The sequence below is a fragment of the Homo sapiens genome, chromosome Y, assembly GCF_000001405.40.
Source record: "Homo sapiens chromosome Y, GRCh38.p14 Primary Assembly".
Taxonomy (NCBI): domain Eukaryota; kingdom Metazoa; phylum Chordata; class Mammalia; order Primates; family Hominidae; genus Homo; species Homo sapiens.
Window position 1 is genome coordinate 14,041,821 of NC_000024.10, and position 27,572 is coordinate 14,069,392.

Sequence of the window (27,572 nt, forward strand, 5' to 3'; positions counted from 1 at the left end):
ACCCAACAGCCCATTGAAAACGGGCCATGATGACGATGGCGGTTTTGTCGAATAGAAAAGGGGGAAATGTGGGGAAAAGAAAGAGAGATCAGATTGTTACTGTGTCTGTGTAAAAAGAAGTAGACATAGGGGACTTCATTTTGTTCTTCTGTACTAAGAAAAATTCTTCTGCCTTGGGATGCTGTTAATCTATGACCTTACCCCCAACCCCGTGCTCTCTGAAACAGGTGCTGTGTCCACTCAGGGTTAAATGGATTAAGGGCGGTGCAAGATGTGCTTTGTTAAACAGATGCTTGAAGGTGGCATGCTCGTTAAGAGTCATCACCACTCCCTAATCTCAAGTACCCAGGTGCACAAACACTGCGGAAGCCCGCAGGGTCCTCTGCCTAGGAAAACCAGAGACCTTTGTTCATATGTTTATCTGCTGACCTTCTCTCCACTATTGTCCTATGACCCTGCCAAATCCCCCTCTCTGAGAAACACCCAAGAATGATCAATAGATACTAAAAAATTTTTTAAAAAAAGTTTAAAACATCAGAAAATACCTTGTGAAGTATATTCTTTAAAATTAAATGTTACTTATTCTGAAATATTCTACATAAATATGAATAAACTGAATGTGGAATAAGAACAACCAGAAAACTAGTAAACTGAACACAGTAGAATTTATGAACGTGAAGGTATACTGTTTATATTCTGAATCAGAGTTTTCTAGAAAGTAATATTGTTTATACATTTTTCCAGTATGTGGCTTCTGTTTTCCAAAACACACAGTCAAGAAGTTCTTACAAAGGCATCTCAGTTTAATGAGTTTTCAGGAAAGAAAATATTCAAGAGTTAAGCAAAACTTAATCAGAAACATTTGAGTTTTATTCAATTTCCTATAAAATGCCATATGGATTTCAAAATTAATAGTGGAATCTACATGACAAATGAGTAAGGGGTCAGTCTACTTTCTAGATATTAGGAGTACTTGTCATATGTTAAAAGAGGAACTGATGTTTCTCATGTCTAAAATTTTGATAGAATTATTTTATCATAGAATCTAGTCTTGGTTGCTCATTGAGCTAGCATACAGCAAAGATTTCATAGGGTTTAAAATAAGAGTGTTAAAACTGGGGAACATTTTAATCAAATCCTCATCAATAATAGGACAAATTGAAAATTATTCGCTTAGAATGTGACAGAATGCGAAGTCAAGAAGAGGGCCTCACCCCTGCACTAACTCTGGCAAATATTTGCAGTCCAGACATAATCAGGATGAAATAGCAGACAAACCCAAATGGAGGGACAGTCTGTGAAATAACTGGCTGCTACGCTTTAATTGTGCTACAACCAGGAAAGTCAAAGAAAGATGAGGAATCAGACTGAAGGAGACTAAGAGACATGAAAACTCATGGCAGTGCATAATTCTAACTGGCTCCTTCTGCCTCAAGGCATTTAAAGGCAGTCTGACCATTAGAAGGTAGAAATACATCAGTGCCCATTTCTTGATTTTTAGGTCTTGACTGTTTCTGTGTATAATAATCCTCTTCTGGGGAAATGCATGCTAAAATATTCAGGATATGAGGTATCCGATTGGAAACTTACCCTCAGATGTCTTAGGAAAAAAGAAAGCTATTTACATTCCATACTGAAATTTTTTGTAGGTTTTTGACTGCTTCGAAATAATATATGAGTAGCACGTCATCTCCAAATTATATATATATATAAAAATTATTGTTTCAAAGTTATGCATATATGTTTTTAAGGGGGTACCAAGTCAACCCCAATAAAACCGCATGACTCAAGAAAAAATGATGTTCAATTTATCCACACCATAGAGTTTAGACACTAATATAAAATGTTTTCATTTAAAATTATTACCATAAAGATATCTTACCACTGAATAAGGGAGGTACTTCGTAATAACTAATGATTGGAAACAACCCAAATGCCCATTAACAAAATATCGTGTAACTATATAATCATCACTTTTTAGCCACAAAGGAATGAACTACTGACAGATGCCATAAGATGGATGGACCTAAAACCAGTATCCAGACTAATAGAAGCAATGCACAAAAAGGCCACATAGTGTATTATTACATTCATATGAAATATTTTGAATAGAGAAGTCAATAGAAACAAAGTAAATTAGTGGTTGCCCGGGGCTGCGAGAAGGCTAGGATCACTGGGGATGTTGGCTAAAAGAGATGGGATTTCTTTCTGACATGATAAAAATATTCTACCATTGACCATGGTAATATTCACAATGTCTGTGAATACACCTGATGTGGTAAGTCTTTGTGTACTCACCAAAATCTCATCTTGAATTGTAATCCCTAGGTGTTGAGGGGAGAACATAGTGGGAGGTGATTGGATCATGGGGACAGTTTCCCCCATGCTGGTTGCATGATAGTAAGTTATCACTAGATCTGATGGTTTTATAAGATTTTGGCAAGTTTCTCCTTCACTCAGTCTTTTCTCTCCTGTTACCATGTGGAGAAGGTCCACACTTCTTTGCCTTCCACCATGATTGTAAATTTCCCGAGGCCTCCCTAGCCATGCAGAACTGTGAGTCAATTAAACCTCTTTCCTTTGTAAATTATAATTTTATACATTTCTTTATAAATTATGGTATTTCTTTATAGCAGTGTGAAAACAAGACTAACACAATACCAAACCCACAGAACTGTGCACTTTAAATGAGTGAATTAAGTGGTATACATACTCTACCACAGTAAAACCACTGGAGAAAGGAGAGATGGGTATTCTTTTTCTTTTCTTCCCCCTTATTTCTTCAATTTTTGTCAACTACATAATGTACACTGTTAATCATTTGTACATTTTTTTGAGCGTATGTCTTGCCACTGAATGTTGCTGAACTTCCGTTCAAGTAGGAACAGACATAGTTACTGGCTATCAAATAACCCTTCCTATGTTATTATCCATGTTTTTAAAAGTTATGCATCCCAAGCTTCAATAATATGAGTGAATAAATGGAAAGGGAATTATATGTACATGGATTACATGACTCTAACATTTACATTTGTATTTAGATATTTATTGAAGAGGGGAAATATAGTGTATTCTGTTAAATAACGTGTGCCTTTATATTGCGGTTTACAGCATTTACACATTCTCAGCATATGAATATTTGGAAATCTTGTAAATACTGCTTCGTTCTTGGTTTATGTGACATGTACAAAACATATTTTGTGATAGTCTGATTATTATTGGAGTCCCCCACTAGCTTGCAGGCTCACTAAGGACAGGGTCTTTGTTGTTCAGTTTCATTAAAACAGCAAGTACTTTAAAATATTTAATGAATTATAAACATATTTCTATCTGTTTTAATCTCGTTTTTAAAAAATTCCATTGCAAGTTCTTTCCAGGCAGAGTATCTTTTGATTCTGACATTGTTCATTTACTCTTGTTTTGTCACCATCTCTGTGAATGAAATTGAACATGGATTTGATATAACTAGGAACTTGCTCTGTTTTTATAATTTAAATGAAAAATCCTTTCATTCAAATAAACACAGGCCTTCAATTAACAAATAGTTTTTGCTAACCCCTGCTGCTGCATTTTTCTCAGTAATTCTTAAGTGAGAATCATGGTAACTTCACCAATCCCTTTATGTTAAAAGCAAGGATGTTCTTACGACTGGTAAGAGGTTGCTGCAAAAGTAATTGAGGTCTGAAAGTAACGGCAAAAACCACAATTACCTTTGCACCAGTTTAATAAAAAGCAATTTATGAAATGGCCATAACAATATACGCCAAAATTGTCATTTAAAGATGTAGTGTCATATATTGAAACATAACTTGGATATTTTCCAGATTCAGTTTCAAAAACAACAAAAATAAAATATAACTGTCCCATGAACCTATTTTCATCTTTTCCAACTCTTGCCCTCTACGGATTCAATTCCATGGTTTAAATATTGACCTCTAAACTAGTCAGCCAGTTTATCAGATTCACCTTTACAACTTAGTCAATAACTAGCCTTCAAAATAAATAGAAAGAAAAGAAAAGAAAAGAAAAGAAAAGAAAGAAAAGAAAAGAAAAGAAAAGAAAAGAAAAGAAAAGAAAAGAAAAGAAAGAAAAACTTTCCAATGACGTTCTTAGAGCAACTGACTAAGTCTTCTCATTCTGTCTGCACAGGTCTTTTCTCCAAGTTCAGCAGCATTTGTGTTGTAGAACAGGCACAACTGTTTTGAATTGTCACAACCACTCACTTCCATCGAACTTGGCAGAGTGGAGCATATTCAAAGAGAAAAAAACATAGGTATCTGGTTCTGATTAGTGGTTGCAGTTTTAGAATACATCTGCTATCAGGTATGCACACACAAGGCATGGGTAAAAGCAGCTGGACACTAAGACACAATAATTATATCTAGGGCTAACTTCTGTACAGTGGAAATTCTGTATAACCAAGAGTTCTTCCAAAAATGTACCCAGGCACACACATCAATACACTGTACAAATTCTTCAGATTTAACCTGGATACAATAAAACTTGAAGATGACCGACAGAATTGTGTATTCCTTTGTTATTTAAATATCTGAACATCTAATATTTCTTGGTCAGTTTCAGGTAAAAAGCTACATTAATAATGTGGTTTAAATATGACATAATAATCTGAGAAAAAACTGTGGCATATTTTAATAAAACTTTCTATTGACAATGCTAATCCATGTAACACTGAAGTGTTCCTCTCCAAAAATTCAGGATCTTTTATTGCTGAAAGGTTAATCACTACAGGGGAACATCATGACACCCAGTGACCAAAGACTTTCAATGCTGCATAAATTCTTGTGTCTTCTGTTCTTTATCACACTTATAAATTAATTTGTTGATAAGCTAAATCATTTATGTATTGAAATATGTATTACTGAAATAGGTAATGTGTTCATGAATGCTTTTATATTTTTACATGTGTGCGTGAAAACTATTTCTGAAATTTGAAAACTGCAGATGCTAATGTGGTTTGTGTGGATATGTGGCATCTGCCTCAACATAACCATATGAATGTATTTCTTAAACACATATACTCATTTACAAAGAATCTCCTATTCTGGCCGGGCGCAATGGCTCATGCCTGTAATCCCAGCACTTTGGGAGGCCGAGGTGGGCGGATCACGAGGTCAGGAGATCCAGACCATCCTGGCTAACAGGGTGAAACCCTGTCTCTGCTAAAAATACAAAAATATTAGCCGGGCGTGGTGGCGGGTGCCTGTAGTCCCAGCTACCCGGGAGGCAGAGCTTGCAGTGAGCCGAGATCATGCCACTGCACTCCAGCCTGGGCGACAGAGCGAGATGCCGTCTCAGGAAAAAAAAAAAAAAAAAAAAAAAAAAAAAACTGAAACAAAGAATCTCCTAGTCTATACTCATGATTACAACACATTCTGTGCTAGCCCACTTTTTTTCCTTTTGAAAAAGCCGTCAAAGGAAAATAAAATGAATCATTTAACTTGTTGAGCTAATAATGGACATGGACCTTATTTACGTCAACATGTTAGGCAGGACATTGCATGATAAGAAGGAGGACTTTATGACAGGTAAGTTTATTTATACCTGTGCTGCTTCCCTTTCATTGGCCAATTTTACTTATTTCCCTCCGTGATTTAATTACTACTATAAACCCGGGAAGCTATATAGTAGTAGTGGTGAAAGAGAAGTTCAGATTCCAACCTTGTCACATAATTAATTTGTAACTTTCAGCAAGTTCTTTAAGCTCCTGAAATTCAAGTATCTTTATGTGAAATGAGATTATTCTTTATTTGAAATATAAAAAAAATTCCTACCTACTCCCTTTGTTGTGAAGATTCTCTACCCTCTGCATATGCATATACCTTTATATATCCATAAAGTGGCTAGCACAGGGCTTGCAGGTTTTTGTTTGTTTCTTTGTTTGTTTTGACACAAGCTCTCACTCTGCCATCCAGGCTGGAGAGCAGTGGCATGGTCATAGCCCACTGCAGCTTCTACTTTCTGGGCCCAAGCGACATTCCCACCTTAGCCTGCCAAGAAGCTGGGACCAAAGGTAAGTGCATCCACCTGCAGCTTATAATACTTTTTTTGTAGTGAAGGGGTCTCACTAGGTTGTCCAGGCTGGTCTCAAACTCCTAGCTTCAAGCAGTCCTTCAATATGTTGATAACCGCTTATTTGCAATCCAACCAAAAATGCCTCAGACCTAAATACTATTACAACTCTTTGGACATTGGCTCCTTGTGGGTATAAAGTGTCTCCTTCCAAAGCTCAAATCTTCTCTCAGGAGGTTTGATTCTTGAGACTAACATTCATCCCAGGGCCCAAGGATCTCTCAGACCACCGCAAAAATCTTATGCTAAACGTGGACATTCCATCCACTAAACATCAGTTGTAGTCCTTTCTTCGAATGGTAGGTTTCTGTCACATTTGGACAACCCGGTTAGGACTTATAGCAAAACCTCTTTATGGGGCACTGCAAGGATCGGCGGGGGGGAGCTCTTAAATTGGAGCCTTGAAATGGACAGTGTTCTAAAAACCCTCAAACAAGCCCACGCCCTGGCCTTGCCAGATCTTACAAAGCATCTTTACTTGTTCATAGTTGAGAGAAGGGATACAGCCCTTGGAGTCCTCACTCAGCCACTGGGACCCTCCCAGTGGCCAGCTAGTTACTTGTCAAAAAAAAGGCATGGGGATGGCTGCCATGCCTCTGAGTGCTAGTGTGTGTGGCTCTCCTGGTTGTGGAGGCCTCCGAGCTAATTCTGGGCCAAGCAATAACTGTCTACACCCCACATCAAGTAATGAATGTCCTAAACTCAAAGGCCTTTCACTGGATCTCACAGAGCCATATAAGCAAATTTCCAACACTCCTTCTACAGGTACCAGAATTGAGTATTAGGCTCTGCCAACCCTTAATGCTGGCATGCTGTTACCAAACCCAAATGTGGAGAGGCCACTTTAACATTCTTGCTTGGAAACCATAGATCTAACCTGTAATGTTAGACCAGACCTCCAGGATATTCCCCTTATAGATTCAGAGGCCACACGGTACACAGATGGCAGTAGCTTTATGATAGGTGGAACCCAACTGTCAGGGTATGCTACTATTAACCTAACTGAAATCACAGAATCTGGACCTCTGCCAGGAAGTAGCACCTCAGCCCAAAAGGCTGAGCTCATTGCTCTTACCTGTGCCTTACAATTAGGGGCAGGCCTGAGGCTTAATATTTACACAGACTCAGCCTATGTCTATCATGCAGTGCATGCCCATGCAGCCATTTGGCAGGAAAGAGGACTTTTAATGGCCTGAAATACTTCCATTAAATGTGTTCCTGAAATCATGGCCCCGTTGGAGGCAGCTATGCTTCCCCCACAGGTCACTATCATTCACTGCAAAGCCCATCAGAGAAGCAATGATGAAATCTCTATCGGGAACACCTGGGCTGACAAATAAGTAAAAGTGGCTGCCAGGTCACCCTTTCAGGCTGTCTTCATTCCTAGCCTAACTTCCCTGTCTCCACACTATAAAGAGGGGGAAGCCCAAAAAGCTCTAGAAAGAGGTTTCTCCCATACCTCAGAGGGCTGGCTAAAAAGTCCTAATGGCAAACTCTTGCTCCCAGGAGCCTCACAATTGAAGTTTCTAAATAGCGTATACCAATCAACTCATCTAGGGGCTAAGGCCTTCCAAGATCTAATAAAGTCACTGTTCACCAGCACGGGGATAGCCCAAGCTCTATGAGCCATCTCACAGGCATGTCCCACCTGAGGCCAAATAAACCCAGAGGGAGGACACAAACCTCCCCAAATCCTTCAACCCATTCTAAGAGAGGAACCCTACCCCGAGAAGACTGGCAAATATATTTTACACACATGCATCATGCAATGTGTGTATTTGTTAGTCAGGTATTTGTTAGTCTTTGTAGACACCTTCACTGGATGGATAAAGGCCCTTCCCGCCAAAACTGCATGGGCCTCAGAAGTCACCTCAGCCCTTTTAGACCGCATTCTTCCTTGTTTTAGGCTCCCTCATGCCCTACAGTCAGACAATGGCCCCACTTTCATTTCTTAAAATGAGGGACCCTAGGTCCCTCCCATAACGCGTCAGAATTCTGAGAGATACAAGTCAAGTTGACATTTCGGTGGAGACACAGCCAAACCATATCAAGCTACGTGAAGGTAAAACCAGGTACGATGGGTGTTCACTTGATTTTTGGTTCTCATGAAATTTCATTTCATTTTTTCTCTACGAACACTACAAAACTTAGCCAGCTCTGGTGGTGCACACTTGTAATCCCAGCTACTCGGGAGGCTGGGGCAAGAGAAGCACTTGAACCGAGGAGGTGGATGTTATAGTGAACCGAGATGGTGACACTGCACTCCAGCCTGGGCCTGAACAACAGTGTGAGATGAGAATCTGTCAAAAAAAAAAAAAAAAAAAGAAAAAAGAAAAAAATAATTTTTTTGTTTTTTTCAGAGAATCAGTGAAGCTCTCCAGATCAAATATTATCTGCATGCGTCTTGACGTCCACAATCTTCTGGGAAGGCGGAGACAGCCAATCAAACCAGAAAAAGCACCTCACAAAGTTAACACATGAAACCCAACAGTTATGGTCAACTTTGCCCCCCATTGTACTCTTAAGAGCCTGTATCACCGCAAAATGTGAAGCCCATCTAGCCCTTTCGAGATTCTCTTTGGAATCTCTTTGGAAGATCTTTCTTCCAAACTGACCTTTTGTTAGACCCAAAGAGACATTATCTCATACAGTATGTTATGTCCCTGGGACAAACCATCAAGGCCATCAATCATTATCAAAGTCTTCATAGCCCAACACCTGGCCCCTCTTTTTCAGGAAACACTCACCCTAACCTTATGCCTGAAGACTAGGTATATCTTAAAACTCTCCCACAGGACAAAAAGCCACTGGAGCCAGCGTGGACTGGACCATACCAAGTTCTCCTTATGACCCCGACAGCTGTTCAACTCAAACATCAAGTGGATTTACTGCTCCAGGGTCAAGGTGGCACCAGCACCCCACAAAGAACGCACTACCTACACCTGTGAACCAGTTGGAGACGTTTGTCTATTGTTCAGGAGGGACTCAAACTCAGGCAATATCCGCCTTAATACTTAGAAGAAGCAAAAGCAGAAACCCCTGGTAAATCCATCAGATCCCATGAGACTTACTCACTATCAGGAGATTAGCACAGGAAAGACCGGCCCCCATGATTCAATTACCTCCCTCTAGGTCCCTCCCATAACACGTCGGAATTCTGGGAGATACAAATCAAGTTGAGATTTTGGTGGGGACACAGCCAAACCATATCAAGCTACGTGAAGTTAAAACCAGGTACTATGGGTGTTCACTTGATTTTTGGTTCTCATGAAGATGTTTTTTTCTGTGTAGATAGTTGTTAAATTGGTGTCCTTGGTGGGGGGTCAGGGGGACAATCAGTGAAGCATTCTGTTCCGTCGTCTTTCTCCTCCTGTAGATCTGTAGTATATTTTGAAATATACCTTTGTAGTATATTTTGAAGTCAGGTAGTGCGATGCCTCCTTGTGTGTTCTTCTATGGGCCCAGTTTCTGGAGTCCTAAAGCAATTACAATAATAACATCAAAGATCACTGATCAGAAATCATCATAACAGATATAATCATGATGGAAAAGTTGGAAATATTGTGAGAATTACCAAAATGTGACACAGGGACATGAAGTGGGCACATGCTGTTGGAAAAATGACACTGACATGCTTGACGGTTGCCAGAAAACTTTAATTTATAAAAAACACACAATATCTATAAACACAAAAATGTGCATCACAATAAAATGAGGTCGACCTGTACCTGCCAGTACCCAGGTAATTAGTTTACTAGGAATAAGTAATAATAGCTAGAAAAACTAGTTAAATACAGAAATTAAAAAAAAAAAAACAACTGTCTTCTCAGGACACAAAAACATGGAAAGATAGTCCAGGCTTATAGATTGACAGGATTAATATTGTATAATTCACAATACTCACCAAAGCGATTAACAGATTAAATGCAAGCCCTACCAAACTACCAAAGACATTCTTCACAGAAACAGGAAAAAACTTATAATATTCATAGGAAACCATAAAATACCTCAAATAGCCAAAGCAATCCTGAGCAAAAAGTGAAAAGCTGGAAGCAGCACACTACCTGACTTCAAAATTTTACGACAAAGCTATAGTGAACCAAGCAGCATGGTACCGGCTTAAAAACAGACACAGAGACAAATGGAGCAGAATAGAGAACCTGATATAAAGCCACATGCTTACAACCAACTCAACTTCAACAAAGACAAAAAGAACATATGATGCTGAAAAGACCAACATTTCAATAAATAGCACTAGGAAAGCTGGATGAGTATATGCAGAAGAATGAAACTAGATTCCTCTCTTTCACCACACACAAAAAGCAAATCAAAAATGGATTAAAGACTTGAATCTGGCTGGGAGTGGTGGCTCACGCCTGTAATCCTAGCACTTTGGGTGGCCGAGGTGAGTGGGTCACTTGAGGTCAGGGGTTCGAGACCAGCCTGGCCAGTATGGTGAAACCCGTCTCTATGAAAACTACAAAACTTAGCCAGCTGTGGTGGTGCACACTTGTAATCCCAGCTACTCGGGAGGCTGGGGCACGAGAATCACTTGAACCGTGGAGGTGGATGTTATGGTGAGCAGAGATGGTGACACTGCACTCCAGCCTGGGCCTGAACAACAGAGTGAGATGAGACTCTGTCAAAAAAACAAAACAAAACAAAACAAAACAAAACAAAAACCAAAAAAAAAAAAAAAAAAAGACTTGAATTCATGACCTGTAACTGAAACCACCAAAAAACATTGGGGAAATGCTCCAGGACATTGGTCTGGGCAAAGACTTCTTGAGTAAGACCTCAAAAGCACAAGAATCAAAGCAAACATAAACTATCGGGATTACATCAAGTTAAAAAGCTTCTGCATAGCAAAGGAAATTATCAACCAAGTGAAGAGACAACCCACAGAATGGCAGAAAATATTTGCAAACTACCCATCTGATACGGGATTCATAACCAGAATACAGAAGGAGCTCAAAAAAGTTAATAACAAACAATCTGACTTAAAAATGGACAAATAATCTGAATAGATGTTTCTCAAAAGAAGACACAAAAATGGCCAGCAGGCATATGAAAACATGCTTATTATGAATCATCAGAGAAATACAAATCAAAACCACAATGCAATATCATCTCACTCCAGTTAAATGGATTTTATCAAAATACAGGCATGAACAGATGCGAGCAGGGAGGTGGAGAAAGGGGAACCTGTGTACACTGTTGGTGGGAATGTAATTTACTACAGCCCCTATGGAGAACAGTATGGGGTTCCTCAAAATCCTAAAAATAGAACTAGTATATGATCCAAGTATTCCACTGCTGGGGAAAGAGAGGGAGGGGGAGAGAGAGGAGAGAGAGAGAGAGAGAGAGAGAGATGGATAGATAGATAAATAAATTTATCTGAAGATCAAAGAGATATATCTGCATACTCATGTGTATTGCAGCACAAGTCACAATAGCCAAAATATGGATTTAGCCTAAGTGCCCATTGATGGATGAATGGATTAGGCAAATGTGGCATACGTACACAATGGAATATTATCCAGGCATGAAAAGAATGACTGGATATTATGTTAAATGAAATAAGCCAGGCACAGAAAAACAAACATTGCATGTTTTCACTCATATATGGGAGCTAAAAAAGTGGTTCTCATGAAGATAGCGACTATAGTGATGGTTACCAGAGGCCAGAAGGGGAAGCAGGGGATGAAGGGGAAATAAAAGAATATAAATGTATTTATTACCACTGAACTGCACGGTTACAGGTGTAAAGCAGATACATTACATGTGTATATTTTACCTCAATAAAAATATATTTTAAAAATAAAATCACATTCTTCTCACCACGTCCTGCTGAGTTATTGTTGGAATAATGAATTACTACCACAGATAAGTCAGGTACCTAAGTAAGTAGTAAAATAGAGACAGCAAGAATAGTTCAGTGGAATGTAGAACATAGGGAATCTGGTCAGGTCAGATAAAATTTTGCTGGTGTTGAGTTAATACGTAAGTTCTACTTAACTGGGCTTTCCCATGAAACACATTTCATAGAAACAGCTAACAATCATTGCAATACCAAGTGAACCTGATCCTGAAAATCATATCCTTTGCAAGTCTCAATTATTGATTTTAGTTGGGATAAGAACTTAGAAGGATAGGTGCTGAGTGTTACCCAGGAAAAAAAGGTACAAAGGATAACAGGAGATAATTTGAATATCTATGTGATGTCTGGAAAAAGCAAAATCCTTCCTAATCATTCTACTACGTTTTGTTGGAATAATGAATTACCACAGACATCTGGTGGTAAACATGTAATTAGCAACCTAAAGATAGCTAGAATTAGCCAGACCAGGTAATTGATCCCAGGAAGCTGAAGATAACTGGCCTATGCCAGGGAGTTCAATAACCATTTTCCTCAATGCAAAATTCCAACCTCATGTTAGAAGTATTACCTAATACAGTAGCTTTCAACTTTATCCAAGTAAGTAATTAACTAGAGATAACTACATGAAGCCAGTACCTGGAATAAACAAATTCTTCTCAGTACTAGTTGAATAAACAACTAGCAATTACTAGGAAACTGGTTGAACATAGAAAGTTTAGTAACCACTCCAGTCAATTCTGTGTTCTTACTTTTTTTGGATTGTTGACTAGGTACTACGGATATGGTAACTAGAGTTACCTGAGTAAGAGTTAAATACAGAATCCTCCCTAAAATGGGAAAAACTGGTTGAAGACAGAAGTATAATATTGCATTCTCCTCAATATTTCTCATTTCTTGCTGGAATAATAAGGTGGTTCTGTCAATGGGCAGCAGTACCTAGGTTATTACAAAGTAAGAAATAAGAAGAGATGACTAGAATAAATATTTGATACCAGAATGGTGAAAAAAAAACCATTCTTTTCAAATAGAAACTCTAATTTCCTGTGTAATTAGTGAGTTACAATTAGTACTGGAGATATCTGTATGAGATGTGGACTTCATTTCAGGGGTGGGGTACATACTCAACAGATGAGCTGCTGGGTCGTATGGTAGATCTATTTTGATTTTCCAAGGAACAATTATACTATTTTTTATAACGGCTGTGCCAATTACACGTCTGTCAACAGCATGTAACAGTGAGGTGATAGTTCATTGTGGTTATCATTTGCATTCTCTGATTATTAACGATGTTGAGCACATTTTCATATACCTGTTGGCCAGTTGTGTGTTTTCTTTCTAGAAATGCCTATTCAAGTCCTTTGCCTATTTGTTAACCATACTATTTATTTGCTATTGAGCTATGTGAGTTCTTTATATACTTTGGATATTAACTCATTATTAGATATATGGTTCGCAAATAGCTTCTCCCAAACCATAGCGTGCCTTTTCATTGTGTTGATTGTTGGCTGTGCAGAAACTTTTAGTTTCCAGGATGCTCACTTGCCCTATACATTTCAGCTGCCTAGACCCCCACATTGTGTGAATGTGTGAGCCAATTGTTTAGAATAAACTGTATCTCATATATAATATTATTCATAAATAAATACTACATGGTAGTAAATACATATTTATGATATATAATATTACACACACACACACACACACACACACACACACACACACACACACACAGAGTATCCTGTTTGGTTTAGTTTCTCCTTCTCTGAGGAACCCAGCCCGATACAGATACCCAGCTGAGCTAGTGTGTTTGCTAATCTTGACCTCTGGAAGCCAGTGCTTTAAACCATGAGAATGAAAAATTGTGAGGCACTATGTGGATGCTGGGAGAAGCATGTGAGATGGAAAAGTTGTTCCATGGCAGCCAAGAAGTGAATGATCCTCAAGGTGTAGCAGAGGAATTTGTAGGAGAGAGGGATGACTGACGTCTTCGTACAGCCCTCCATCCATCCCAGTTAGCATGGAGGGATTTTAGGTAGGACATACAGAAACTGGGTAATGATGGTAGTTGTGGAGGAACAGAATGTACCACTGAATGGGGGTTCCGGGGGAAACATGTGGGGGAAATATCCTCCCTTGCCACATGATCTGCCAAAACTGAACATGGGGAGTTTAGGAGGGGCGACATGTCAGTTTGGGAACTATCTTTAGGGGTGCTAACCCAAATCTCCCTTTCTCCAACTAGAGCACCCTGCCTTCCTCATTAGATGTCACCGCCCCCCCCCCCCGCCCCCGACTTCATCCGCCATGTCCTGATGGTGCTTTATGACGTATAAGGCCTTCCTTCCCACCCAGGGCTACCATTGGCTGGGTAGTGGAGTGTTGACCAATCACAGCTCAGGGGCGTGATCGTCTCGTCCTGGGATCGCGAGAGGGGTATACACAGGGAGGCCAGGCAGCCTGGAGTTAGTCGACCGTTGCGAGACGTTGAGCTGCGGCAGATGAGTCCAAAGCCGAGAGCCTCGGGACCTCCGGCCAAGGCCAAGGAGACAGGAAAGAGGAAGTCCTCCTCTCAGCCGAGCCCCAGTGGCCCGAAGAAGAAGGTGAGTGACCCTCCCAAGCTCCTCCTCGTCTTCCCCTCGCCTCTTTCCTCACAAGAAGCCTCTCCTGTCCTCACTTGGCACAACCCCCCAACCCGGCCCCCACCGCTTCTGAGGACACGTCCCTGTTCCCAGCCTCCTCCATCCTCGTCCCTAAACCAGAGCCCTTCTGTGATCTCCCTGTTGTCCTTCCAGACTACCAAGGTGGCCGAGAAGGGAGAAGCAGTTCGTGGAGGGAGACGCGGGAAGAAAGGGGCTGCGACAAAGATGGCGGCCGTGACGGCACCTGAGGCGGAGAGCGGGCCAGCGGCACCCGGCCCCAGCGACCAGCCCAGCCAGGAGCTCCCTCAGCACGAGCTGCCGCCGGAGGAGCCAGTGAGCGAGGGGACCCAGCACGACCCCCTGAGTCAGGAGAGCGAGCTGGAGGAACCACTGAGTAAGGGGCGCCCATCTACTCCCCTATCTCCCTGAGCAGCAACTAAGTTTAGGCCCAGCTGCCAGACCTCAGAGATCTCACCAGCAGGGTGCTTCCCATGTTGATGACAATAAAATGAATGTGTTGCAAACCGATCTGAGTGACTCCGTGTTCTCTGATGGTGAGGAGGGAGGGAGGGGGGGGTAAGAGGTGTGTGGGGAGGGAGGGAGGAAGAGGTGGTGTGTGGGGAGGGAGGGAGGCAGAGGTGGTGGGTGGGGAGGGAGGAAGGAAGAGGTGGTGTGTGGGGAGGGAGGGAGGAAGAGGTGGTGTGTGGGGAGGGAGGGAAGAAGTGTGTCAGGAGGGAGGCAGGCGGGAAGAGGTGGTGTGTAGGGAGGGAGGGAGGGAGGCAGAGGTGGTGGGTGGGCAGGGAGGGAGGAAGAGGAGGTTTGTGGGGAGGGAGGGAAGAAGTGGTGTGGGGAGGGAGGAAGGGGTGGGTGGGGAGGGAGTGAGGAAGAGGTGGTGTGTGGGGAGGGAGGAAGAGGTGGTGGGTGGGGAGGGAGTGAGGAAGAGGTGGTGTGTGGGGTGGGAGGGAGGGAGGAAGATGAGGTGTGTGGGGAGGGAGGGAGGAAGAGGTGTGTGGGAAGGGATGGAGGAAGAAGAGGTGTGTGGGGAGGGAGGGAGGAAGAAGAGGTGTGTCAGGAGGGAGACAGGGGGGAAGACGTGGTGTGTGGGGAGGGAGACAGGAATACGTGGTGTGTAGGGAGGGAGGGAGGAAAAGGTGTGTGGCGGGGAGGTAGGAAGAGGTGGTGGGTCGGGAGGCAGGGAGGAACAGAAGGTGGGTGGGGAGTGAGAGAGGGAGAAAGAGGTGGTGTGTAGGGAGGGAGGGAGGAAGAGGTGGCCTGTGGGGAGGGAGGAAGGGTGGAAGAGGTGGTGTGTGGGGAGAGAGGGAGAAAAAGGTGGTATGCAGGGAGGGAGGGAGGAAGAGGTGGTGTGTTGGGAGGGAGAGAGGAAGAGGTGGCCTGTGGGGAGGGAGGAAGGGGGGAAGAGGTGGTGAGTGGGGAGCGAGAAACGAAAGAAGGAAGGAAGAGGTGTTGTGCGGGGAGGGAGGGAAGTGGGGTCTTGCGGGCTTGAGGGCAGAGGGAGAGGTCACAGTTTGCCAGACAGGAGCATAAGGTTTGCGTCATGGCTGAGCACTGGAGACAAATTTCCCCCTCACAGGATGACTCTGCTTCATTTAGGGTTTATTTTTTCTTGCAATCCTGCCAGCACAAGCACCAAGTACCAGGATCTGGATTCTACCTACTTAGGTTTCATTGTTAAAATACCTTTTCCTCAATATAAACTGATGGTACAATGGTTTCCATCTCTTTCCTTTCAGGGTCCCCTCCCTACAATCTAATATAATTAAGAAGAAAAATTCAAAGTAGAGCAATATCTATCTACTTGAAAAAAGCCTTTTTGCAACTGAGGAGACAAAAAGTACATTTCATATTTCCATATATTAGAAAGACACAGGTCCTTTATATAGTAGAATTCACTGTATACAAATGTATAGAAACATATGTAAATAAAATGTAATATACAACTATATTTACTGTATACAAAGCTATATATAATATATATTTACATATAAATATATAAATACAAATATAGGAATATGGATTATATATTTATATGTAATAGAAATATAAATATATATTGATATAGATGATATATATCTGTTAGAAATACGCAGGTCTTTTCTATAAATACTGGAACCTACTATATAAATGTATATATTAATATATGTGTTTTCTTATGATTTGTAGATTATATATAGAAATATTTATATATTTTATGTATAAATACATATATAAACAATTATTCATATATGATATATAATCATTTATTTTAGAGGGTAAGCTGTTAGTATTGTTCAAGCAGGGGTCTCAGGCAAAAGGAGAAAGGAAATTATCATTTTAAGAAGAAAAGAGTACAAAATTATCACGATTTAATTTCCACTTGTTAATAATTACACGGGCTGAATAACTCATGCTCTTTAATCTTACGATGAATAGCACGTTAAACTTTTATGTGATTCTGAAAATATGAATTTCCATATAATGAGGGTTTGAGATGTAAAGCACTAATTTTATAGGCAGTTTTCACTTGTTACGTAGATTGTTCTTAGAGCTTTACAGATGTTAAATTAATGGCGGCTTAGAAGAGATGGTAGCATCATTTGAGAAACAATAAATTAGTTCTGTTTCATCCTTTCCTTGGTGCAGTCATGGCTTCACTTCATTAGGTTAGGAAGGGATTTCAGAGCTTTGCAAGTTGAACTTGTAGCTGCCTCCTATGGAATCCTACGAAACCTAGGACGCTGTACCACAGAAACAGGGCGTTGCCCCATGTCCCGAACACCATCATTTTGTGGTATATTTCTTTTGTATTTCTTATATGGAATTACCATATAAAAATGAGCATGCTAGGTATAACTCAAAGCCTGTTTATTTGCAAGGCTGTATTGACCCTGAACGATAAATATTTGCATGTTATGGATGGGAAACAAGTCCCCATAAAAAGCTCCTGCTGCCTTTTAGGAAAGCCTATGGTCTGTGGTTGCAGATCTCTTTCCAAAGGGAAATTGGTGAACTTTCTCCTATAGTTTTTTCCATAATGACAACATAAAAACAGTAGTAAACTCATCTTGCCAGTGGTCATTTTTGGGTTTGGGATATATTAGGGAGCAATTTTGCAATGTGTTTCAAAATTACATTCAATAATTAATTTTGTCCACCTTATTTTAATGCCATATTTCCGTTCAAGCTCTGCATGTCACGACAGTCTGTGATGATTCTTTTGGCATTGAAAAAATTATCCATGGCACTTAAACCGTGTTTCTTTCATCATTTCATGGCAGTTGGAGCTTCAGCTGCTATTTGTTGGGAACCCATCCTGACTAGGGCTTCATGTTTTATTGTGATGATTGGCAGACTTACTTCACTAGGGCTTCATGTTTTATTGTGATGATTGGCAGACTTGTGTTTCAGGCGTTTTCAGATTTGGAAAGTTACTATGATTTTCAAATTATAAATGCAAAAATATCAATGAATTTATTTCACAAACTATTTTAATTCATTATAGACAATAAGTGGTTTAATTAGAAATCAATAATTTAAATAATATTTTAATTTGTTGGAGCATTCACAAATACTACATCTTCCTTTAAGTCTTTCTTTACTCTACATGTTATATACACAGTAAAATTAGTTAATAAGAGTGTTACATATTTTCCCTCCTCCTCCAACTATCCACAAGCTCAGGCTTGACATAAACAGTGGAATGAGTAAAGACCTGAAGTAATATAGCAGCAAAGCTGTAGTTGATTTTTATAATAAAATAATAGATATCAAAGCTTCCTGACATTTTTAGGCAAATCTTCCTGTGTCCCTAAAGGGACGTTCCCCTTGACAGCAGTCATGAACAACAGGTGATCTTGAAATTCTCAGCTGTCAAAGACAGTTGCTGGGAAAATTTGAAAACACCTTGTACATATTAAAGAGCTAAGCATGAGATGATGTATACATACATATGTCTCTGTCTCATTAGACCGCAGGAAATACGGCACATGGCAGGAAGGCTCATGTTGATTCCCCTTGACCATGCAGCTTCCTCTGCTCCTGACTCCTAAGAACTTAGTTCTTTCAGTTACAAAATTTTGCTTGCCTTAGGACATTGGGCTTCATGATATTTGAGAGCAAATAGAGCTTCTGCCCAAATAGGAGCAGCAATCAAGTCACAATCTGTCTCAGATAGCAAATGCTGTCACCTGCATAGAGTATGGGCAGAAACTCTCTGATCTGAAGAGACAGTGATGATTTCCTGACAGTTTGAACAAGGAGAAGCCAGTAGCCCCAGCGAGTCAGCAAATACTGCAACAAGTTTTATTAGGCCTTGTCTGAAATCTTAGACTAAGCAGAGCAGGCAGGTCTATAAAATACAAAAGGATATTCATGATTATTTCAGAAAGAGCATGAAGCAGACACAGGCATTCTGGGTCATTTACAGTTAGTTCTCTAGGACTGAGAAGCTGTATCTCTCCACTACAACTACAAGTGTATTAAAAGGCTGAAAATATGAAAGGATTTCTGGGTCTTGCATTCACCCTAGATCCCTCATCCAGTCATTTTAAAAATGGATTCTAAACTCTACTGCAGGAAGAGTTTGCACAGTTAGCATTAATACAGTCGCAGGCAGTTCAAACAGTAACACCTTTAGAAATTAATTGATTATGCTGATTTCCTCAGCGTTTTGAAAACTGGAATTGATACTATCATGACTACAGGGTGCAGATTTTATTGGAAAAATGTTTTATTCCTGGGACGAGTAACTCGATTGCTTATGAAAATGCCAAAAAACTATGATTTACTTCATAATCTTCAGAAATGTATGTCTTGAATGTTAGAAATACAGTCACATAGTTCTAAAATACACAATTTTATTAGACTAAAAAAATGAAGAACTGAAGAACAGAAATAAGACAAACAATATTCATATGAATATATAAGGTAATTATTATTTCACTGCAACTTATGTATAATATATTCCTGTAAAAAGTAATACCGTTGCCCAACGTTATTACAATTTAACATCTCTCCTGTTTTTTAGAAAAATAGAAATGTAATTACTTTTATTCAAGTCATATGAAATAGTTTATGTCATCAGTAAATTTTGTAGTTAATTATTTTGCAGGATTTTCTTTAAGGCAGCGGTTGGTTAGCAGTAACTATCAACTACTCTTCCCAAGCAAACAGGCAAACAAAGGATTAGGCTTCAGCCTAAATATTACAGCTCTCTGAGTGTGTGTGGGAGGACTCCAAGGTCACGTGGCTTGACTGGATACTTAAGCTGCTCTTCATCTTTTGGGCAGTTATTAATTCACTAAGGATTTTTGAATATCCGCTATGTTCCAGTTTTGTTGCTAAGTGTAGGGGATGCAAATATGACTGACCTGATTTCTGCTCTCCAGTCTAGTAATGGAGAAAGACTCACAAAAAAATTATTACAGTACACTGTGCTATGAATCATGATAAAGGGATGTGCATGCTGCACTAGGAATTCAGAGACGAAGCACTCAACAAGGCTTGAATGATTCAGGAAAAACACTTGCAAGTGTCCCATTTCCTCTATGTCTAGGGAAACCTTTCTTTCTTAAAGTAGGTAATTATAAGAATATAAATTTCCTAGATTCTAAATCTCAATATTAGAAAACACACTTGCAAATAACAGGAGTTTGCTGAGGGGCCATATGCACAGCCATAACACTGTTCCCAACATCCATAGTCAGGCCATGGAACCGTTTAAATCAAAGGAAGTCCCAGTATACTTTGCAAAGATTTTCTTGAAACTTTGTAATAGAAAGAATCTCTGCTATCCATCCATTTCTGACACTCACCCACAATCATTGATGAGAAGATGGGTTAATACTTGCCTCCAGTCAGGTGAGGCATTGAATCCTTGGAATATCATGCAATCCCTGAATTCCCCAAGTAGGTCAAATTATTAAGGCTGGGTGACAGGAACATATGCTGTCCTTAGCTTCATTCTAACGGATTTCAACTGCAACATCTCCGGTGGCAAACCTTCACTTTTCAAGATCTACATTTCTGATTGAGTCAAACTGGAACAATATGCCCTATGATGAAAAGAAACCCATACTATTACTGTAGAAATATGCCCATATCAATAGATTTCTATGTGTACAGAATACAACCTTCCTGTACACTACCTTAAAATTATCTTCATTGTTCTGGAACATGCACATAATGGATTATGGTGACCTAAATGCTAAAATTAAATTTGACATTGGCTGCAAAAGTCTCAACTGAGAAGAGTGCATCACCACATATTTGAGGAACTGTACCCCAAATTGCTTGTTCAAGTCTTTTCATTAGAGGTTTCATTAAATGTCATCATTACACATGGCACATATAGCAGGATCCATATCACCACGCATAATGATTTTCAGAAAGCCAGTGTCGTGGCAGTTCAGATAAAGCTCTTGGTTTGTTTTCTAAAGAGAATATCCTAAAGAAGAATTGACAGCATGCATGAGAAGACTTTTTTTCACAATTGTAAGCAATGATCAAATGTCCTCATAAATGAATCAGGTCAGACGACAGACCTCAGCATTGCATTGCTTAGTTGGGTGACCGGGAAACACAGCACATTTTTACTTTTAAGAGTTTTATTGTTACAGAAAAATTAAGAAATTCTCTCAGCTTAAGAATATCAAGAAGGATCCTGCGTACCCACATGGTGCTCAACATAGTCTCTGAAAGCCCAGGTCAGATATCACATTCAGTTTCTTTCTTTTTTTTTTTTTTGAGATAGTATTTTGCTCTTGTCACCCAGGCTGCAGTGCAATCATGTGATCTTGGCTTATTGCAACTTCCGCCTCCGCAGTTCAAGCCATTCTCCTGCCTCAACCTCTCAAGTAGCTGGGATTATAGGTGCCTACCACCACGCCCAGCTAATTTTTTGTATTTTTAGTAGAGACAGGGTTTCACTATGTTGGCCAGGCTGGTCTTGAATTCCTGACCTTAGGCAATCTACCTGTCTCTGCCACCCAAAGTGCTGGGATTACAGGCTTCAGCCAGGGAGCCCAGCCTCAGGCAAACAGCCTCTCTAAGCCTCAGTTCCTTATCAGCAGAGGGACTACACTATTTATCATCCAACTTGTGACACCTGGGAGTGAAAGAGGGCAGGATCATTAGCCGGTACACTGAGCAACAAGTGTCAACTAAAACTTCTCTAGGTAAATGTACAGTTACCCTAATTAACAGAAAGAAGTGTATTGGTCCAATCAGTCATTTTTGTTCCCTGAGTATACATTAGAATCATCCTAGGAGAATCCATGCACACACACACACGCACTAAACTGGATCATCTCCAAAACCTTTTCAGGCTTTCAAATTCAGAGATCATAATTTCTGAGCATAAACTTATGCCATTGCTATTGGCAAAGTTGTGTAACTGCAAACTATTTTCATATCTAGAACACAGAAATACTGAATACCAGTAAGATAATGACTAATATTCATTTAGGAAGAATTTGCAGTTTACAAAACACTTTCTCAATATCATCCTTTAAAAAAAAAAATCTAACCTGAAGCCCGTGAGAAGTCAGGTTAATTTATTATTATGAACTTTTTGTAGGAGAGGAAATCATTGCTTACAAAGTGCCAAAACACAGATTTAAATTATACAAAGAGCAAATAAAATAATTAAGCCCATGTCTTAATGCAAAATGGTGGCAGATAAGAGAAGTCACCTTGCCCTCCTCCTGCATGGGTTTGAATTCTACTTCTGTTTCTTTATTAGCTCAATAAATTGGTTCAAGTCATTTAACCTCACTAAACATTATCTCTATTAGAATAATATTAATCCTTGCTTCAGAGTGATGCCAGTATTTCATGAGGTATTACATGAAATGTCTTAGTACTATGTGCAATAAATATTAACAATCACTGCTATTAGTACTACTATTACTCTTTCTCCACTCTTTCTCCCTCTTTCAACCACTCTAGTTACTATACTACTATCATTACTACTAATACTAGAACTCATAACATAATCCCTGTATGCTATGATCTGAATGTTTGTGTCCCTATCTCTTCCAAATTCCTATGTTGAAATCCTCTCTCCTAAGGTGATGGCATTACGAGGTGGGGTGTTTGGGAGATGATGACATAATGAGGGTGGGGCCTCATGAATGGGATCAGTGCCCTTATAAAAGGGACCACAGAGAGCTCCCTTTCCCCTTCTACCATGTGAGGACACAGCAAGAAAGGGTTGTCTTCGAACCAAGGAACAGGCCCTCACTGGACACCAAACCTGCTATCCCCTTAACCTTGGACTTACAGCCTCCAAAACTCCAAGAAATACATTTCTGTTGTTTATAAGCTACCTACCTTATGGTATTTTTTACAGCAGTTTGAACAGGCTAAGACAGTATTATAGGCAGAATAAATGTATCAGTCTTTTTTCACACTGCTATGAGTACCTGACTCCTGTAATCGCAGCACTTTGAGAGGCTGAGGTGGGCAGATCACCTGAGTCCAGGAGTTCATCACCAGCCTGGCCAATATGGCGAAACCCCATCTGTACTAAAAATACAAAAATTAGCCAGGCCTGGTGTCTCACACCTGTAGTCCCAACTCCTCAGCAGGCTGAGGCAGAAGAACTGCTTGAATCCAGGAAGCAGACGTTGCAGTGCACCAAGATTGCATCACTGAACCCCAGCCTGGGTGAGAGAGTGGGACTCTGTCTCCAAAAAAAAAGAAATACCCAAGACTGTGGTAATTTATAAAGAAAAGAGGTTTAATTGACTCACAGTTTCATATGGCTGGGAAGGCCTCAGGAAACTTACAATCACCGCAGAAGGAGAAAGAGAATTGGAAGCAAATACCTTCTTCGCAAGGCAGCAGGAAAGAGAGAGAGAGTGAAGTGAGAACAGCCCCTTCTAAAACCATCAGATCTCATAAGAACTCACTCACTATGATGAGAACAAACTAGGAAAACAAATCCCATGATCCAATCACCTTCCACACGAGGTCCCTCCCTTAATACCTGGGGATTACAGTTCGATATGAGATTTGTGTGGGGACACAAAGCTGAGGCATATCAGTAAGTGTTCCTTCAACTAAACAAGCTTAATTACAATGAAGCCCTTTGTGCTCATCTTTAACCTCCTCCCACACAGTCTTAAATAAAACAAACCACACATGAACAGTCTTCAGGGAGGACACTGCAGAAAAGCAGAGACACAGAAATGTAGCAATAACAAACTCTGGCTATCCTTGGCATTTATAGCACAAGAACAGACTTTATATAGATACTCAAATGGATTTACAGACATAGGTGACTGTCAGCCTTAGAGATGTGCCACCAGAAGCTCTCAAGTCACTGACTAGCTTTAAGGGCTACAGTTGGCTGGCAGCCTCCAACTGCAATGCCTCAAGACCAGCTGTTGAGTTTATATGGAAGTCACACTCTTCTTGGGGGAGCTCCTAGCCAAGGTGGAATATGGTTACCAACACTAGGGTGTGTCCACTTCTGTCTTCTGTGTTGCTGCCCTGTGAACAGTCTTTATGCTGGAGACCCCTGGGCTGGCTGAACATTCCTCAGAGACACAATGTCACCTGAGGATCTTCCTACTGAATCGTCCTCCACTCCCACTTCCCTTCACAGATTTCAGACTGCACTGTGGTCAAATGCCCCCCAGGTCCAAAATAACAGCCCCAAACATCTCCACACATCTTACACAACCTTATCCAAGTTGTACTGTACTTACTTGAGACACAATAATAATTTTTAAAAAATTGTAGAGAAATACTTTGCTCCAAAATTCTGTTATTTTCCTGGTTTTCTAATAGTTTATTTATTTGAACAGTTCTATGGAGTTACAAGGTATGACTAGCTTGTCTTTTTAATGGAATACCTATCACATATGGCTCAGGAAAAAGTGATTACAGATCATGCTCTTTTCATGCAATATTTGTTTAGCAAATTAAATTTGTTAAGCCACATTAGCTCAATGATATGAAAATTTTAATAATGTTAGATCTATAAATTGTAGGAAAAATGAATTAGAATTTCAAAATGTGTTTAGTTCCAAGGAATTGGATTACTTGTGTATGTTTCATCTGGAGAGATAAATGATGTTCTAAATTACTGCCCATATTAGCCGTTTAATTTCATTCTTGTTTTAGTAATTTTTATTTTTCAACATATTTAAAACATTAAAGATAATCAAAAAGTTTCATGCAGAGTATTTCAAAATATTACTTTGATCTGGTGATCTATATGTTTTAGATATAAATATTGTTAAGATTAAGGATAATAACAAAATATTTGCTCTATGACAAACAGCAGTCTATACTCTTTGCATATATTAACTCATTTAGCCTTAGACACATTTTAAAGCTTAAATATAATCATTATCCTCTTAACACACATTTTATTGATTATTCTGATCTAGACAGTTAAATGTTTTTAATGTTAATCTTGTCATGATTTAGGATAACAATACAATAAACTGTTCTGAACACTTGACAAATAGTATCTCATGCTCCTTATACATATTAACTCATTTAGCCTCATACACATTATATAATTTAGGCATAATCATTATCCACAAGGTAAAGATTAAGGAACTGAGAGAGGTATGTTGCCGGTGTGACTAGCTGGAGCCAATGTTTTGTGATGTAAAGGAATTTACCAAGACAGTTGTAAGTAATGAAAGCCAGATTTATTAGAGAAAGTATGAAAATACATTGCAAGGGTGCAACAGGCAGCACAGCAGAGAAGGGACTGTCTGTCAAGAGGCAGGGGCTGGAGGTAAATTTTATACGAGTGTGCTGGTGGAGGCTATGGGTGGAATGAAGTCATGCGGTTGGGGTTATGTGCACAGGGAGGTAGTTGTGTCAGTGGGATGTTTGTGATTGGCTGTCTCTCAATACAGTTCTTCTACTCTTCTCCCTCACCAGGCCAGGGGCCTTCACTCATCTTGAACACTTCCCCACCTGGGGCTCCTTCTTTGTTGTTGATTATCAAGACTCCACAAGGTGAAACAAGAGGACAGAACAGAAAGCTCTACAGATTGTCCCCGCAGCAAAGACACCAATTTAACAAATATTTACACAGAAAAAAACACCTGCATAGAACAAAAAATCAAGTGAGCTCTCAAAGGACCTGGTTTTAACTTCATATGACTCAAAGAGACACTGAAGAGATTGAAAAAGCAGTCCTGAATTACCAATGCTATCCACCCCATGTCACACAGTGGTAGCACTGAACTCAGTGCTGTTCTATTACAGCAGAAAAGAAAATCAGACTGCTGTCACCACTGTCAACTCAACATAATACTGGAAGTCCTAGCTAGAGCAACTAGACGAAAGAAAGATGTAAAGGGCATCCAAATTGGAAAGGAAAAAGTCAAATCATCCATATTTGCAGATGATATAATCTTGCATTTAGAAAAACCTAAAGACTGTACAAAAAACCTATTATAACTAATAAACAAATTCAGTAAAGTTGCAGGATACTAAATCAACCTACAAAAATCAGTAGGATTTTTATATGCCAACAGTGAACAAAGTAAAAAAGAAATTTCAAAAGTAATCCCTTTATAATAGCCACACATAAAATATAATATCTAGGAATTAATGAAAGAAGTGAAAGATTTCTATAATAAAAACTATAAAACATTGATGAAAGAAATTGAACAGGACACCAAAAAATGGAAAAATATTTCATGTATATGGATTGGAAGAATCCATGTAAAACCTCCTCTTTCCCCCAAACAACACCTACAACTTACAGCGCTAAGTGTAACTATTCTAGGATTCTTAATGGCCTTAGAACTGAGCCTTAGAGCCAACAGACTTAAAATAAGACTCCCGTTACACACAATAACTTCTCTAACATATTAGGATTTTACTCGAATCAAAGCAACCTGCAGATTCAATGAAATTCTTACCAAAATGCCAATGACATTCTTCACAGAAATTGAAAAACAATCTTAAAATCTAAAATTTATATGGAACCATGAAAGACACAGCATAGCCAAAGCTATCATAAGCAATGAACAAAACTGGAGTAATCAGATTACCTGACTTCACATTATACTACATATACAGCTATGGTAACCAAAACAGCGTGGTACTGGCATAAAAGCAGGAACATAGACCAGTGGAACAGAGTAGAGAACCCAGAAACAAATCCATACACCCACAATGAACTCATTTTTGACAATGTTGCCAAGCATATACACTGGGGAAAAGACGGTCTTTTCCATAAATGTTGTTGGGAAAACTGATATCCTTATTTAGAAGGATAAAACTAGACCCCTATATCTCACCATATAAAAAATTCAAATCGAAATGGATTAAAAACGTAACCATAAGACTTCAAATAATTAAACTCCTACAAGAAAACATTGGGAAATGTCTCCAAGACATGGTCTGGGCAAAAAATTTTTGAGCAGTACTCCACAAGCACAGGCAACAAAAGCAAAACTGAACAAATGGGATCACATCAAGGTTAAAACCTGCTGCACAGCAAAGGATGCAATCAACAAAGTGAAGAGACAACCCACAGAATGGGAGAAAATGCTTGCAAACTATCCATCTGAGAAGGGATTAATAACGAGAATAGACAAGGAGCTCAAACAGCTCTCTAGAAAAAAAATCTAATAATACAATCAAAATGTGGCCCAAAATTTTGAATAGACATTTCTGAAAAGCAGACATACAAATGGCAAATAAGCATGTGAAAAGGTGCTCAACGTCACTGATCATCAGACAAATGCAAATTGAAACTGCAATGAGATATCATCTCACACCAATTAAAATAGCTTGTATCCAAAAAACAGGCAATAACAAATGTTGGTGAGGATGTGGAGAAAAGGGAACTGCTCGTTGTTGGCAGACCTGAAATCAGGACACCCACTATGGAGAACAGTTTGAAAGTTTCTGGCTGGGTGCGGTGGCTCATACCTGTAATCCCAGCACTTTGGGAGACGGGGGGCAGGCAGATCACGAGA

The 27,572-nt window shown here is 39.8% G+C and overlaps 1 protein-coding gene across 1 annotated transcript; it reads left to right on the forward strand.

Moving 5' to 3' along the window:
- The first annotated feature begins 14,406 nt into the window (after positions 1–14,406).
- Positions 14,407–15,138, forward strand: VCY1B (variable charge Y-linked 1B). The gene is made up of 2 exons (NM_181880.2): positions 14,407–14,571; positions 14,764–15,138. Exons 1-2 carry the CDS (start codon positions 14,470–14,472, stop codon positions 15,037–15,039), a joined length of 378 nt encoding a protein of 125 aa, NP_870996.1. The 5' UTR covers positions 14,407–14,469; the 3' UTR covers positions 15,040–15,138.
- Positions 15,139–27,572: the final 12,434 nt, after the last annotated feature.